Source organism: Homo sapiens, chromosome 11 (assembly GCF_000001405.40).
Source record: "Homo sapiens chromosome 11, GRCh38.p14 Primary Assembly".
NCBI classification, from domain to species: Eukaryota; Metazoa; Chordata; class Mammalia; order Primates; family Hominidae; genus Homo; species Homo sapiens.
This window is the reverse complement of record NC_000011.10, coordinates 31,823,011-31,840,294: the sequence shown is the minus strand read 5'-3', so window position 1 is coordinate 31,840,294 and position 17,284 is coordinate 31,823,011. Positions and strand designations below refer to the sequence as shown.

The 17,284-nt window shown below is 43.3% G+C and overlaps 2 long non-coding RNA genes across 2 annotated transcripts in view, besides 3 other annotated features; both read right to left on the bottom strand.

Moving 5' to 3' along the window:
* The window catches only part of PAX6-AS1 (PAX6 antisense RNA 1), a 70,476-nt gene that overhangs the window by 46,747 nt on the left and 6,445 nt on the right, over nucleotides 1-17,284 (bottom strand). The gene's annotated exons all lie outside the window — the stretch shown is intronic.
* On the bottom strand, nucleotides 10,992-13,728 carry PAUPAR (PAX6 upstream antisense RNA). The gene has a single exon (NR_117094.1). It is a non-coding gene; the product is annotated as a PAX6 upstream antisense RNA (long non-coding RNA).
* Nucleotides 13,055-14,479: an enhancer, noted in NCBI's record as "NSTK fragment". NCBI's record gives the evidence for it as "EXISTENCE:reporter gene assay evidence [ECO:0000049][PMID:10079359]".
* Nucleotides 13,055-17,284: part of a biological region, named in NCBI's record as "PAX6 upstream regulatory region", that runs on past the window's edge. NCBI's record gives its function as "regulatory_interactions: LOC105980003 | LOC105980005 | LOC105980073 | LOC106007493 | PAX6 | PAX6DRR".
* Nucleotides 16,416-16,975: an enhancer, noted in NCBI's record as "NANOG-H3K27ac-H3K4me1 hESC enhancer chr11:31844867-31845426 (GRCh37/hg19 assembly coordinates)". NCBI's record gives its function as "activates a minimal SCP1, AML or CMV promoter by ChIP-STARR-seq in naive H9 embryonic stem cells {active_cell/tissue: H9 hESC(naive)}" and the evidence as "EXISTENCE:reporter gene assay evidence [ECO:0000049][PMID:30033119]".

Here is a 17,284-nt window from a genome sequence, read left to right as displayed (position 1 = left end):
GATGAACTACAGTTTTCTGCTTCACACAAGGAGCTGGGAGATCCACTTCAGTTCATGAAAAGTTGTAGAAACAGAACATCACTCCTTTGATTCACACTTTTACCTTCCATGCAGGCTCATTCCCAGAGGTCTTCTATACTCACAACTTGCAATGTTCTTGTCTACGTTCCCAACCTTCCTTCCTATCTCTCTGCTTCCCAGGCTTGAAAACCTACCTTCTGTGTGAAATCTTTCCCAGTTCCCTAAGGAATTCTCCCTAAGACACCAAAAAATAAACTTAATATTAGTTGAACTACTTATCAAATGAAATGAAAAATTGCCATTTTTGTAGGTAAAAACTAGTCTAATGTCTACAATTTCATTATTTTTCTTTTGAGATGGAGTCTTGCTCTGTTGCCCAGGCTGGAGTGCAGTGGCACAATCTCGGCTCACTGCAACCTCCGCCTCCCAGGTTCAAGCGATTCTCCTGCCTCAGCCTCCCAAGTAGCTGGGATTACAGGTGCCTACCATCCTGCCCGGCTAATTTTCGTATTTTTGGTAGAGACAGGGTTTCACCATGTTGGTCAGTCTGGTCTCAAACTCCTGACCTCAAGTGATCCATCCACCTCTGCCTCCCAAAGTGTTGGGATTACAGGCATGAGCCACTGCCTGTAATAATTTCATATTATTCAGCCTAATTAATAGCAGGTAGCATCAAATACAGTGTATAACTTTGGTGGCCCCAGTGGGTCATACTCCAATGACTCTGAGGTCTCTTACTATTGCCCTTCAGGATCTGCAGGGTTCTAAGGTCTACCTTGACATTGGTTTTAACAGGTGAGTACCACATCTACAAGTTGGATATCTTTTTCACATGTTCCAGAGAGTCATAGTTTGCACCTAGCTGAGACATTTCAAGAAAGGAACTTTGAAGTCACTTCTGACCTGGACCCTGCTAATTTATCTAACAGGGAGATCTTACTAAAAAGGGCTACTAACTTGTTCTGCAGAATCACAGAGCCTGATTATCTTTCAAGATTAAAAATGCATGAGCCCTGTGATGCATCAGTTCTACTTCTTGATCGTTTGTCCAACAAATACACCCACATTCACGCAAAATGTTGTATGTTTAAGAATATTCATTGCCATTTTGGTTGGTAATAGCAAAATACTATTTTCAACTGGTTAATAAATTTGACACATCAACACAGTAGAATACAATAATGCATCTCCAAGATACTGTATTAAGTGAAAAAAGCAAGACAGTGTTATGGTATGTTTCTATTTCCATGAAAAGGTGGAGCAGAGTGAGTGTGTGTGTGTGTGTGTGTGTGTGTGTGCATGAACACATGCATAATTATATGAACACAGAATATTTCTAGATGGATATACATGACAATAATACTTGCCTCTGAGGAGGGGAACTGGTTGGTATGGGAAAGGGAAGGAGACATCTTTCAGTGTATGCCATTTGGTACATTGTAAATTTTCTCCCACGTGGATCAATTATTTATTTTAAAAAAGTAATAACTTTTTAAAAACCTAGGTTTTTCCTTAACCGTATAACATTAAGAATGAAAAGTACAATCCTGGTTTGATATTGACTGAAGGATAAGTCCCTATCATTGACTCCTCATATACTTAGGATGACTCAGGCCTTATACACCTGGTTCATTCCAACCCTCTAAGAAGAGGTTGAAGTATTTATGCAAAGGGCCATGTCTTCAACGACATAGAACTCCAGGACCACCCTAAAGCTTCCTCAGTTTGCTCCTTCAAGGCTTGGGGGAAGGCAAGATCACATCAAGCAAATTAAGCAAGATATACATACAGATCTGTGTGTGTGTGTGTGTGTGTGTGTGTGTGTATCTATTTATATTTATGTTTAAAAGCACCAAGAACAGTGTCTGACCCATAGTAAATGTCTTCAAATTTATAGAATATTAATCCACCTCTACAACATAAAATTGCCAAAATTCTTGGAAGTAGAGCATTCTTCTGAGTAAGCAACATATCTCCCCTATAATTTTGAAAGCCATTTGAAGCCCAAATGAATAAAGATTTCCTATTCAAGTAGAATCATTTTTTAAGTGCTACAATGCAAGCACATCAAAACCTGAAATAGTGTTTTTTAGGGTTGTTTTCTTTCTGGTTTGGTTTCTTGCCTTTACCCTCTAATTGCCAAGTAAAGCTAAATTGACATTAATCTCTTATGCAAAGGACCACATATTTAATCTTCAAGCCGATTTTAGATATGAAGCCTTTGAGGAAAGAGTGGAAGAAAGCAAATTACAGTCAAGGAAGACCTGTCCCATTATGTTTTTGTTTTAGCAGCCATCGTGCTATAACCATCCAAACTCTCCCTGAAAACAACTCCAGTCTTTAGTAGCCTGAGCAATTCACAAAACTTGGGGAAAAGCAATGGAAAAACAAGTGTGTGTTACACTTAGATATTTCCATTTGGCTTTTTTCTTTCTCTTACTTTTTGAAAACACACAAGCAAAAACTATTAGAATATCTTTAAATAAAGCCTCTGGCTGAGTAACTCCCAAGTGGATCCTCTGCATCTCAACCAAGGATGCCATCTGTCCCACTTTGCCACCTACCTCCAAGTTTCCTTCAGTCAAAGCTCTCTGCAGCATCATGATACATGTATCATTTCCCCTTTAAAAATATTTTTTTCACTTTTTAAAGGGAAATGCAAAAATATGATTGTTTAAATTTAATTTAAAACAAAATTTGAAAATTAACTGGGAAAATGTATGTAACATGTATAAGACAGACAAATGGTTATTTTTAATAAATATTCTAATATCCCATTTTTTAATGAGCAAAGAATATAAACTGGCCATTAAGTATATGAAAAAGAGTTGGCTGGGCGCGGTGGCTCACACCTGTAATCCCAGCACTTTGGGAGGCCAAGGAGGGCAGATCATGAGGTCAGGAGATCGAGACCATCCTGGTCAACATGGTGAAACCAAGTCTCTACTAAAATACAAAAAAATTAGCTGGGTGTGGTGGCGCATGCCTGTAGTCCCAGCTACTCGGGAGGCTGAGGCAGGGGAATTGCTTGAACGGGGGAGGCGGAGGTTGCAGTGAGCCAAGATCGCACCATTGCACTCCAGCCTGGCGACAGAGCAAGACTCTGTCTCAAAAAAAAAAAAAAAAAGAAAAGAAAGAAAGAAAAGAAAAAGAGTCAAACTTTGCTATTTAAAAATACAAACAAAAATTAGTGCTATTTCATCTATCAAACTGGCAAAAATCAATATCAATTGTATTATTTCATATCTGCTACCGTATGGGGAAATAGCAGTCTCATAATTTGCTGTGAAATTACAATTCAATACCTTTCTAAAGTACTTTAAAAAGTACAAATGTTCTAAATCCATTCATTTTACTTTCTAGCATGGGTGGTTCAGTGGTAGAATTCTTACCTGCCATTAATTTTACTTCTGGAAAGTATTACATGGAAGTATATAAAGACATGTGCGAAGTTAGCTCTAAGGTTCTTCATAGCAATATCATTTGCAATTGCAGAAATATATTAGGAGGATCCTAACTGTCCATCATTAGAACACTAGCTAAGTAAATGATGAGGCATCTATACAATAAAATGTTTATCAATATTAAAGTAACATATATGAGGAGATGGATATTGCACATTCTTGAGTGAAATAAAAAGCAATTTACAAAAGAGTATGGTCCACATATATGTATAAATCTATAGAGTGTTTATAGAAATGTGTTTTGGCAAAAATGGTAATGTGATTTTTTCTGGGTTGTAGAATTTCACGTGTTTTTAAACTATCTTCATTATATTTTTCTGCATCATTTGAATTTTAAACTTTAAATGTGTTGATTTTACAAAAACAAAAAGGCTCTTCTCTTTTAAAAAGGAGATAGTGAGTCTTCTTTGAAAAGCATCTACTCTATGCCTAGAAAGATTCATTTTTCTTGGGGAATTTTATTACCCATTAAAAAGAACTGCACATTATTTTTACTGCTTGAAATCCTCTGAATAAATTTGTAGCAGTTCCCTTCTGAGGACTCAGTCTGGAAAGATTAACCAGTGATTTTGGTTTAAGAAATGAAGTCTATTAAGTGGTCTTAAAAACAAAAGTGGGCATCATTGTTCATGCAAATTATTGGTACTTTAAAAGGTTGTGAGCTTCAGTGAGCAGTCTTTCTCTTCCTTTGCACCTTAGTTTAAATCAGGGGAAAAGGCAATGGGGATGGAGCCCTGTAATGGAAGCATCCACCTCTCCTACCCATTTGGGATGAGGACTAATAGACCTTCTAAAGTTTAGTGTCTGAGTGAGCCTTTGAAATGACAGCAGGGCTTTGATTTTGTGATTAAAATTAAAGATCAAGGTGAGCACCCGGTGCCTGAAGACTTCCCCTGATGGAAATGAATAAACACTTGGCTCTAATACCTATATCCAGCTAGAATACAAATAGAGCATATTATCAGCCATCAGAGCATGTTGTCCCCGAGTAGCAGTGGACTGAGAAGCAGACTTTAAATCAAAGTGAAGGCGAGCACCCCAGTGCCCCTCATCAACCGTTCCTCAGCTGGGATCCCCATGGAGCCCAGAGAGAGGGGGAGAAGGGGGACCCCCTGCTTAGTCAGCCAGATCAGCAGAACCAACCCTGGGATTCAACAAGGTGTCAGGTGTATTCAGTGTACACAGATTCTCATTTGCCTCTTCCACTGTCTGACAGATTGCTTCTTTACAAACCTCCAGAAGGAGGCAAATTACTGGGTAGGGTATGGGGAAAGAAGCACACTCATAAACTGCTAGTGGGAGTATAAATTGGTACATGATTTGGGGAGGGTGACAATTTGGCAGTGTCAGCCAAATTTTAAAATGTACATTCAGTGTAACATTCAGCAACTTTAGTTGTAGGAGTCTAGCTTCCAAATTTTTAGCACAAGGATATGTACAGGGAAGTATACTACAGTATTATTTATAATAGAAAAAGTTCCAAACAACCTAAATGTCCATCACTACAGAATGTTTTATTCACACAATGGCATAATGTGTGTCCGCTAAAAACAAAATAATATGACAGTGACTTGCAAAGATAATCTATGTTAAATGACCCTCCGCCGGAAAAAAAACCAGAACCTTTATTCCATTAATGAGTATATACAAGTGTGTGTACGTAAATGTCTAGCGTTAAAAATAATTTGGAAGGTTATATAATAAACATTATATGGATTCTGCTTAAAAAAGGATGTGTTTAGGACTGAAATGAAAGTAGGGGAAACTGACTTCCTACCTTACTAAGTTCTGTATTGTTTAGATTTAAATGTTTTCCTCATTATGCATACTATTATTTATTAATGTAAGGAGCCAAATCTATTTCCGTACGCTCAGAAGTTTATGCCAAAGTTCTGTTCACGGAGATAGATGTGAGTGTGTGTGTGTATGTGTGTGTGTGTGAGAGAGAGAGAGAGAGAAGGAGGGAGGGAAGAAGGGAGGGAAGGAGGTAGGGAAGGAAGTAGGGAGGGAGGGAGGGAGGGAGGGAATAGAATAAGTGGAAGACCTGAAAGGTACATGAGAGGGATGGCAGAGAGGACAGATAAATGATTTGAATGACCAGAAAGGACTGTCCTATAAAAGCAAGAGAGAGAAGCCCAGAGGGAGGGAGTAAATTTGAAGTCATAAGATATCAACATTCATAGATGAACCAGGACCTGGAAGGTTCAAGATTCCATAGAATTCCATAAGTGCTCTAATCTGTCCCTATATCCCTCCAGTGTGCCCTCGAGTCTGTCCTAGCACAATCACCTCTATCCTCTTCTTTGAGGGACCTTCACTTTCTCTTCCTGACACTGGGCTGTTCCTCTGCAGCCCCCTCAGGTGGTAGCTTCTCTCCATGTCACTCAAACCACAGGGCCTGCCTTCTCTGGCACTTTCATACCTGTTTCTTCCTCCTCCCTAAAATCTTCCAGCTTTGACTCTCATGCCATCAGACTATCCCACATTGGTGGCTATCCAGCTATCCCACACTGGTAGCTGAAGTCTATAGGCTCCCAGGTCTTTCCCACTCATTCTTCAAGGCTTTAGCTCTTATCTCACCATCCCTCCTTCCAGCATGGCCCCTGCCCTAATTCTTCAGAATTTCAATATCTATGATCCTTCCAGTGCCCTTGCTTTTCAGTTCCTTGACCTCTGTTGCTCCAGCTACCACCCACTCCCATGGTCTTATGCTATACTTTGACATTAATTTCACCCCTCGGTCATCTCCATTTCACTCTCCAACTATCATTTACTATCTTTCCTGCTCACTCCATCACTTCAACAACTCATTGACCCACTTAAATCTAAAATCCTTTAATCCTATCACTTCTCCACTGGTCTTTATCCCCTCAGGTTTTCACGTCCTTTTCTACCCAGTTTAGATTCCACGGAGTAACCCGTTTGCACACACAAGTAACTCCCTTGCCTCTTTCTCTCCCTTCATCATACTGTCTCTCCTTGCAACAGCCCAATCCTAACCAAATCCAACTCTCAGCCTACTCTGTACCTGAGCTGTGCCTAGAGAAAAGTATACACCAGTGAGGCCGACTAGGCCCCAGAGATGCCCAAAAACCTTGTACAAGTCTCCTGTTATTTCACACACCCATTGTCTAGCTGAGTTTCCCAATTTCCCTCTTCACCTCAAACCCACAGTGTCTCCTTCTCCATCTTCTGAAATAATGACCTGACTTACAATTTTATTGAGAAAATCAGAAAAGAACAAGCACCTTCACCACATCCTGCTACACTGTATCTGAGCTGTTCACTCTGCTTTGTCCCATTATTGTGAATGGATCATCCATGCTTGCAAGTAGACCAACACCTCCATTTGTGAACTAGGTCCTATTTCTTCTTGCCTTCTCATGGACACTGATAAGACAATTCTCCACTCCTTCCTTGCATCATTAATTTTACCTTCTCTAGTGAATGATTTCCCAATAGAATCCAAACATGAAGATTTTTTCATGCAACCTTTAAAAAACCTTGATCTCTAACTACTGCCCCATTTTTCTGCTTACCCCTTTGCAACAAAAATCACTGAAATAGTTATAGGTACTTGTGCTGCCTCAAATTTCTCTCCTTTCATTATGTTTTTATTCCAATATTCTATTCCTACTAGTCACTTTCCCCAAAAATCCATGACATATTGATAAATCCAACAGTCAATTCTCAGTTCTCATCCAACATGACCTATTTACAGTATTTAACACTATAGTTGTTTAAAGGTTGATCATGTTCCGCTTCCTAAAATGCTTTCTCCAATTGGACTCCTGTGTGCCAGCCTTTCCTGGTTATCCTCCTGCCTTTCTAGGGACTCCCCTCAATTTCTCTTCATCTTCCAGACCTCTAAACATCAACATGTCCCAAAGCTTGATCCTTAGGCTTCTTCTCTGCCTATATTGATTTCCTTGTTGACTTTATTCAGTGTTTAGTTTTAAAACTCCAGACTCATATGCTCAACTCTTACATGACATTTTTACTTGGATTTCTAATAGGCATCTCACACCCAATATATCCAACACCAAATTCTTTGCCTTTCTACAGAAATTTCCTCCTCAGTCTTCCTCACCTCTATAAATGAGAAATCTGTTCTTCTAGTTTCTCAGGCCAAAACCTGGACATCATCCTTGACTCTTCTTTGACTCACAGCCTTATCCAATCTATTAGGATATTCTTTAAAATATATCCAGAATTCAGTTATCTCCCACAAATACCACTGCTACCATCATCAGCTTCTACCTGGATTATTGTAACAGTCTCCTAGCTGCATTATGCATTGTTGTGAATGCTGCTGGTTGTTTCACTACATGTGGGTCACCACCGCATTTGGGTCAATATGGGTTGACCAATTCTACTTGTAGTTTGCTGTGGACATGTGACTAAGTTCTGAACAAAGGAATGTGAGCAGAAGGAATGTGTGCCAGTTTCAAGGTAGACCATGGACCTAAAAACCATGGACGCACCTCCTGCACTTTCTCCACTTATGAACCAGAACCTGGAGGAATCTATGGTTCATGCAGATAAAGGCAATAGCCTAAGGGATAGAGAATCCTAGATGGCTGGAAAACTACATAAAGCAAGCTGCCTGCTACCCTGAAACATACACCTCAGACTGTTAGATGAAAGGAAAATAAACTCTTATTCTCTTTAATCCACTGAATTTTTTCTGGGGCTATTTGTTAGAGAAATTTAGCCTTAACCTAACTAAAACAAGCACCTCAAGTATAGAACCTAAAACCTACAAGCTCCTCAAAAGCTTGAAAAGATATTTGAATTCTTGCCCTTATCCCCAAAATTAGTAGCTCCAAAATATGAAAAAAAAAAAAATGGCAGCAACTTTAAAGTCAGCATCGGCCAGGTGCAGCGTTCACTCCTGTAATCCCAGCACTTTAGGAGGCCAAGGTGGGCAGATCGCTTGAGCCCAGAAATTCAAGATCAGCCTGGGCAATATGGCGAAACCCTATCTCTACAAAAAAAAATTTAAAAATTAGCCGGGCATGGTGGTGCATGCCTGTAGTCCTAGCTACTCAGGAGGCTGAGGTAGGAGGGTCGTTTGAAGTGGAGGTTGCAGTAAGCCAAGATTACAGCCACTGCACTACAGCCTGGGCGACACAGTAACACCCTGTCTCACACACATACACACACAGAGTCAGCATTGATAAATGTTTACATGACTAAAAGCGTTGACATCATGTCAACACACCAGCTGCAACTCAACTTACATGTCATGTATAAATGTAGTAAAGTTTAATCATAAAAATGAAATGAATAATTCATTCCTAATGAACTTCAAATTTATCAAAATTATTTTAAAACAGTTTATAGCAAATAATTATGTTGAAGTACGGGTCATGTTATCATTTGATGTGATGTGGGGTAAAGCTCAAAGTAAAAGCACTTAGGTCCTAGCATGGCCTTGAATGATGCTACCTGACCCTGCTGTTTACTAGCTGAGTTACCTCCGTCAAGTTGTCCAAACTTCTGAGAGTTTTTCAGAAGTTTCCATTCTCTGAAAAATGGGAAGGGGGCAGAAAATAATACCTATTTTACAGGGTTGCAAAAAGAAAAAAATATATACTAGTTTTGAAAATACTTTACACACATTGTAGGAACGTAGGGGACGAGTAGTATTACATTATATATTTCCATAAAATCTCAGTGTTTGAAAGAAGTCTAAAAATCACTTAAGTGCCCACATATCAACAAACTTATCTGGAAAGATTTTTTTTAAACACCAATAGCAAAGCCTCTGTCTCCAAAGAGTCTCATTAAGTAGGCCTTGGAATTCCATATTTTTAAAGCTCCCCTATACATAAGATACTGATAGTGTTGGTTGCTTTCAATAGGTAAGAAGGGGGTGGCTGTATGACTGGATATGAAGAATTTTCACAAAATATTTTCTGAACTTCAGAATTTTGAACCACATGAATGTACTTTCATTTTGACAAGTAATCATATTTAAATTATTTAATAAATAACCAATAGATAAAATAAATGTTTCTGGGATGATTCTGGCCCTGATACAGTTTGGGAAGTAAGTTAATTTCCCTAACCACTCCTTCATGCAGGTTTGGTCTTCCCCACACCCCAGATTCCACTTGAACATTCCCAGTGTCTTCACTGCCCTTACCTTACAAAGCAGACCAGGAAGTTGGACAGCTATAATTGTTAGCGTATTGTTCTGTGTAAGTCTGTGTCAAAGTGAGGGATGCCGTAGACATCATCACATAGGTGGTGGCCACAGCATAATCTCTGACCCATAGCATAAGTGAATTCATCAACGACAGTGAGGAACTTGATAACAGGATTTACTGGATATAATTCTGGTGGGTCGCTGTCTGTCACCAAGACAGAAAACTGACATTGATTTTATCTTCAGATTTTTGCTTGACCTACCAATGTGATTGTGGCGCTGGTTATCAGGGAGCTCTCAAAATGGGATATGAGCCCTTGTTTAATCAGCATTGTGTCTGCCTTGTCCCTGATTCTTATTATCTAATGCAAATGGGCTTCCTTATTACCTAACATAGTAGGTTCAAGCTGGGAGAGCCAAACAAACTGAAGCTACAAAATGCAAGCAACTGAGCACTGTCTTGTCTTAGGGACAAAGTAAATAAATGCATCAATTCCCCAACACAAATGCACTACAATAACCAAAGACAGAAGAAATCACTTCCAAAGAATTGAATGGAAAGTGTTTAATTTTGTACTTGTTTCCACGATTTTGGAATGGAAACCAGTCCTTTCAACTCAGAAGACTATACCAATTGCCTCTATTTTCCCCACCTCCACTACCAAATTCCTATTATTTGTTCTCATCTGAATGGTCTGAAACTGTCAAGTAACAGAAAGGTTGTTATCAATACTGTATCTGCCCCAGATGGATTAGAGGAAGAATGATGTTTGTGGCTCTCTGTAATCCCTCCATAGACTCCAGGACTTTATGAGTTTCTCCAGGGAATGTGGCAAAGCCACAGGAAATCCCCAAAAGCAAAATGTTGCAGACTGCTCTCTGGTTTAGCCACCAAGCACAGAAAAAGTAATGCAGGCAAAAAAAAAAAAAAAAAAAAAAAATTAGAGAAAACTCTTCCTTGTCTGCAAATCAGAGGCAGTTGAGAGCATGAGTTGTTTTATTTCTCCTGAGGTCCACTGTTGCTTGTCAGTCTCTAAGGAACACATACCTTGATGCATGTCTTCTGTTTCCAGAGTGAACCCCAAAGCTTCAAGTAACCTCATATGGAGTCGGAGATGTGTACTGATGTTGCCTCCAGTCTCATTTTGTTTGTAAGCCTACAGATAGATTTGAGGGAGGCTTTGAACAACATCTTTATATTCTCTGTGCTTGAGTTCCTCTAAATTGAATGGCATTTGCCATTCACTTTCATCGTGGAATTGAGGGGAAGTAGCTACAATGGGATTTGTAAAAAAGATTTTTGAGCAGATTGTAAGGAGAGAACAGTGAGTCATAAAGTAGCCATTCTTTACTCTTTTAAGCAGTAATTTATATTTATTGAAATTCATAGTGCACACATAAGCTATGGGAAGACAGCAAGGGAAGCAGAGCATAGGTGAGTGTTCTAATAGAAACACAGAATAAGAAAACAGAATAATATTAGCTGAAAAATTCAAGTTCCTTGCATCAAAAAATTTAGGATCACAAGCAATATTATAGGCAATTCTGAAAATATTTTCTTTTTTCTACTCTGATGCATTTTGTTGGCATTTGTTGTATTAAAATCTCAGCAAATGCTTTATTAAAATGAATTTGGTATAAACAAAACAAAATTTTTCAGCCTATTTGTCACAATTGTAGAATGTTGGATTTTTAAAAAAGGACTTAAGGATGCCCAAAATATTTTATTTAAAATGCTCCTTACATGACACTCTGGGGACTGTTGTGGGATGGGGGGAGGGGAGGGATAGCATTAGGAGATATACCTAATGCTAAATGACGAGTTAATGGGTGCATCACACCAACATGGCACAAGTATACACATGTAACAAACCTGCACATTGTGCACATGTACCCTAAAACTTAAAGTATAATAAAATAAAATAAAATAAAATAAAATAAAATAAAATGCTCCTTACACTATAGGTGAATTGGGCAGAGAAATAAACACATTTTAGGTGGTCTTCCTAGAGCATCCAGGCCCTAAAATAACCTCAACTGACATTAACAGGGAGGTATCTTAAAATAAACTATAATTTACTGTCATTTTAACAACAACGACAGAGTTGAAACGAATGTTTGTATGCCATATTTGTGCCTAGAAATATTTTCAGACTATAAAACCATGCGTACATCAATATTTGGGAAATGTTTGTTTCTTTAAAAAAAACGGATATTCAGAGATGCTTTATGCCTCCTGGCAATTTTTGCTTCTTTTTGGATGAAAAGACGCTATACTATTTGTACTACATACAGAAACCGAGGAAACCTTGACGCTATTTGCCTCCTAATTTTAGTTTCTTTGAAGTCTGCATTCTGTTCCAATATATCAGCCTTGTATTAAACACCAAAACAGGAAAAGAAAGAAACCCCTATATCAAATACACAGAAGAGATAAACAAGGTGTTAATTTTTTCAAATATTATTTCTAGAGTTTTGCATACTACCTGCACACGCTCCACAGCAGGGAGGGGCGTTAAGAAGAGGTAAGCCTGGAGCACAGTGAAATGTGACCTTGCCACAACCCCATCAAAGGTCTGTTTGATTGATTTTTCTTCCCTGCAAACGATCGGAAAGTAGCAGTGACAGAACAAGTCCTTAAAATTCGACAATCACTAGGGCATACTTCATTTCATCACACAAATAGGGAGTTGAAAGGTCGCCACTAGTTCTATGGGTTTCCTCAGCAAGACAGACTCTTTAACACCCAAGTTTTGAAAGTATGAACTACAGTATTCCACAGATGATTGTGCCTGGTGTTTAAAAGGCCCCTGCAGAGGTCTAGTCAAAATATTTACATTCCTCTCTGAAACTGTAATGCAAAGGAAAAGGGAAAAATCGTGAGAGGACAAATCAAAAGAAAAACTTTCCTTCCCCGGCAACAAGAAAAGGTGTCAGGCCGCTGGGTCTTCTGCAGACAGCCCTGTTCTCTTGGTGTAGATCAGGTGCCCATCACACACTTTTCCAACGGACGTACATCTATAGCAAGGTGCATTAGCTGCATTCCGTGTCAAAATTAGGGCTGTATCCATTTCTGAACACATGTGGTTAACAGAAAGCCTCATCATCCCGCCGTAAGTGGGTGTGTTTAATTGTCCATGCGTGTTCCCCGAGGCGCTCCATGGACGCTGCAAATAGATGGGTGAGTGATGGGCACATATATTTTCTCCATAAAGTGCAGCCACTGGCTCAAAGTGAGGCAGACTCTGGCAAGGAAGAGAGTTCGAGGCTGGGTGGCGGCGAGGATGGGATGGGGGTGGGGAGGAGGAGCAGGAGGGGGCGATGATTAGCGAAGGAAATGACCCAACTCCCTCCCTTCTGTTTTCACAATCTGCGTCACACTCCTGTACGCTCCCGGCCCGCGGCGGGCGAGCGGGCGGCCGCGAACGCCGGGTCAGGCCGGGCACCAGCCTGGCGGTCGCCTCCCAAGCTCCGGGTCCGCCAGCCGCTCGGCTGCCCGCTGTAGGCCCCCTAAAGAAGCCGAGGTGGGCACTCGGCCTGGCGCCTGGGGGCCGAGCCCACGACCAGCAGAACTTCTCCCAACCCAGCGCCTCTCGACGTGGGACCGGCTGGGCTCACTGGGCTCGGGGCTCCGGTCGGCGAGGAGGCGCCGGGAGCGGGGAGTGGAGACTCTTTGGTCTCCCGGGCTGTGGCGGTGCAACTCCCGCCGCCTGCGTTCTAGACAGAAAAGCCCCTTCTGACCATGCATTAGTAGTACTACTCCATTATTCCTGTTAGAACAAGTTAAAAGTAAGGGTTGAGCCCAAAGGCCCCAGGAGGGGGGTCATGTGCGCCCCAGTCACTCAGGCTCCCCTCGCTTCTCCGGTTCGAGTTATGCCATCAAGCTAATATATTGTGACTGCTCTTCTCTCCTGTGACAAAGGCTTGCAGCTGCCTCCAAATCAATAGATGTCAAAGAAATATGAAAACAATCATGACACAAAACTTAAATCCTGGCTGGAGCCTACATAATCAGAAATGTGCTACTGTTCTTCAAGCCACCGATTAATTTATCCCAAACTTTAGTCAAATTTTTATTCCGGTACCTTTTTCCCAGCAGATCCTGCTACGTCTGTCGGGTTTGTAATGTAATTTGTAATTACTGCCCTTCATGTGGTCCGGTGCCTTGAACCATCTTTAATTAAAAGCATAATTAAGGGAAGATCTAAAGAAAGACAATTACCAGATGGTCTTTTTTTTAGAGGCGGTAGTTGCGCAGAGAGGGGCTCGGGGTCTGTCCCCGGGACCCCACGCCTTGGGAGGGGGCGGCGGGCCCGAACGGCGCCTGCGCACTGAGGAGGCCTTGGCCTGGCTTGCACCCCGGGTCCCTCCCTCACCCCACCGGGCCACACCCCGCCACACCCCGCCCTGGCCCTGAGGCTCCACCGAGGCCGCGCCCAGAGGTGAGCGCCAGCGTCCCCGCCGTGCAAAGAGACTCTGGCTTTCTTCGCTTTTCCCCGGGGGGTAGCGGGATGTGGGGGTGAGTCCCCAGCAGGGAGGCTGGGAGAAGATCAAGGCCGAGGCAACTTTCAAATCTGCGAAGGGGCCCCCGATCCGGGCCCATCCCGCCCTGCACGCGAGCCTGAGAGCTCTGAAGCAGAAAGAAGGAAAGGATGCGAGGGCTGGAAGGGAGACGAAGGAATGAGAGAAGAGCGTTTGCCCCGCCAGATGACAGCCTTGGGAGGAGGCCCTGGCCTAGGTCCTCCCTGACTGGGACTGACTAGGGTGGGAGCTGGGGGATCCTAGCCCTGCGGGCCTGGGAACCCCTGGGACAAAAAGACAGCCGGGGAGCGCCGTCGACCGCAGCCCCGTCGGTCAAAGTGGCCCCTTGACAGCTATTCTCTCGGCTTTCGGTTCCTCGGTGTCCATTGGTCCCCGGGATTTTCAGAATAAGTTCGGGGGAGGGGAAGAAACCCACTCTCCACTCCTATCCCATCCCCACGTCCCCGAAATGAATAATGCAGGCAGGAGCCAAGATTTCTGCATTAGCGCCACGTTGCCCCGGCGGCTGGCGCTAGGATCCCGAAGTCGGATAATGGAAATTAAACTGTTGTTGTGTGGCGGGGATGTCATTATGTGACTGTTCATATTCAAAGTCAGGCAGCAATGAATTGTAATCATTTCAATTATCTTCAATACACTTTCTTTAGGACACAAGTTGTCAAGGATAAAAAAAAAAAGTACATTCTTGCGGCTCCGTGGGTCCATTTTCCAGATGGTTTGTTACTCTTGCTGCCTGATTTAGTTTCGGCTTTTATTCCCCAGCCTCAGATTCTCTTGCAGAGACTCCGCCGGAGTGAGCGGCTTCTCTGGCGCTGCGGGCCGGCTACGCTGGTCGGCAATCGGCCTCCGTGGGCCTGGCGTGCGCATTTTGGTTGCTTTCAGGTATAATTAACTTTGAACAACAAATATGCCTGGAGCTCTGGATCTAGTGTCCCCTTGGGGAAGGGGGCCGTCGTATTATACTCTGCGTCCTTCCCAGCCTGGGGCGGGGTGGGGGCTGGCTGCAGCAGCTGCACCCACTCCCCAGGCCAGCGCTGCGCGTCAGAAAAGCATGTGCTGGGCTGTACCCACTCCTCCGACAGAGCCCGGACCCTCTCCTTCCAACCCAGAGAACTCAGGGAAAAGCCGGGATCCCCGGAGCCTGCCGTCCTTTGTTGAAATTACCCTCTGCCCAATGTTCGCTCCCTCCTGTGCCTGAACGTGGGGCTGCGACAAGTTGGATGTGGTGTCCTTGAAGTATCCCTTCGAGCGCCCTCCGCCCCCAGACTGGGCAAAAAGAGTAGGGGTCGCCTTTGAAGCCCAAGTCCGCGGCTCCTATTTGGACTAATCCCGATCTTTACACTAATATCGCCTCTCGGGTTTTCATTATACTCATTTGGGAGGAAATGAGCTTTTGCTGGGCAAATAGCACCCTGCACCCCACTTCTCATAGCTGTGCAGGCCCGGGGCCTGAACAACCCCGCAGGCAATCCGGGAGCTGCCGATATTATATTTGTGAAATGTCCTTTTGTTGAGGCTTTTAACACCTTCTTATAACGAATCATTTGTTCTTTTCTCTTTAATTTTGATAGACAATTAGCCATCAGAGATACACCAGTTGACTGTAACCGAGCATTAAACTCGCCTTTATGTAACGCTAATTTAGCATAGCTGCTTTGTTTAACTTTGCTATATAAGAACCAGGTTTTGTAGCAAAAAAAAAAAGGTGTAATTTTATGTGGGGCTTCATTTCTTTTGGCCCTGTACACAGCTAGCCCTCTCCTCTTTGTGAAGCGTTCTGCTGGGGCCTGACGCCATTTCCCGTGCCTAGCACCTGCAGGCTGGGGGGAGAGAGGGAATTAGCATTGATATAGATTTAGTTGAAATGTAATCTCTTAAATCTGTCCAAGATTCGGGGAGATAATTACACTTTCACTGAATTGCCAGGGGTCAGCGTCTCTGAGGACCTGAGGAGTTGATTTACTAACAATAGTGTTACATAAAAAATGGCGTTTGAGATTATAATGTTAATGGCTGCGGTCGCTGGGGAATGCGCCCGCTTCCAACTAATTCCATGTAACTTGTTTTTTTTCCTCCCTTTTCCTCCCTCCCTTTCTTCCAGGCTCCGTCTTTGCAGGGATTCAAAGCCTTCGCGGTGTTTAATTTGGTGGCAGGCTCCAGTAGGCTAAGACCAGAAGTTCTGGAGCTTGGGGTTGATGCTCTTGTTCTGGGAGTGTTTGTGGTGACATATTGGGGCCTCGACAGCAAGGTTGGCCTCTGTCCCACAAGGACGAGGACTAGGATGCGGGGTCCGAGCACCAAGTAGCCAAGCTGAGGAGCGGAGGGAGACGGCTGCACCCAGAGGAAGCCCTCCCTGGCCTGCAGGAGACTGGACCTCCCTAGCCAGCGGCTGCCTCGCGCCTTGGGCCGCGCCAGGAGGCTGCCCTGCCTGCCTGGAAAGGGCCCTCCCAGCTTCCTGCGGCCTCTAGCTCCCCGGCCCCGCAAGGACCAGGCCCTATTTTGCTCCCTACTCGCCCTCCTAGGCCAGCTTTCCACCCAGCAGCCTCAGACCCGGGGACGCTCGCTTCCCGCCCAAACTTTCCTTTCCAGCTGGACTTTGCGGGGAGGCTGGGACCTGAGTTCAGAGAGGCCCTGCAAGTCTAGATTCTGCTTTAGGATAGGGGTTAGCTTTAAAACCAAAAAGCCAGCCTCCTTTGGGGTGAAGATGGTTGCAGAGTTTACAGTCCCTCCACACTCTTCAAACCTCACCCACAGCAGTCCCCAGTCACAGTCACAACACCTAGACTTCCCCAGAAATCTCATGGCTTCCCCTAACTTGCAGCCTCACAGGGTGACTCCAGCGCTTTGCTCCTCTGAAAATCTCACTTGCTCTAGGTGAATGGCCTCAGGTTATCAAGGACCCACTGGCAAACTCGTTCCTACCCATGGGTCAAGGAAGAGCCCTGGGAACTGTACCAGAAACAAAGTCTGAGGAGGGAAAAGCAGCTCTTCCTAGGTAGGACACAGGACCGGTTCCTTGGCGGCACTGGGCCGGTGAGTCAGAGAAGGAGTTGAGAGCTCAGGAGCAGCCTCAGGCCACACCAGGTTTCAGTGGCCTAGGCCT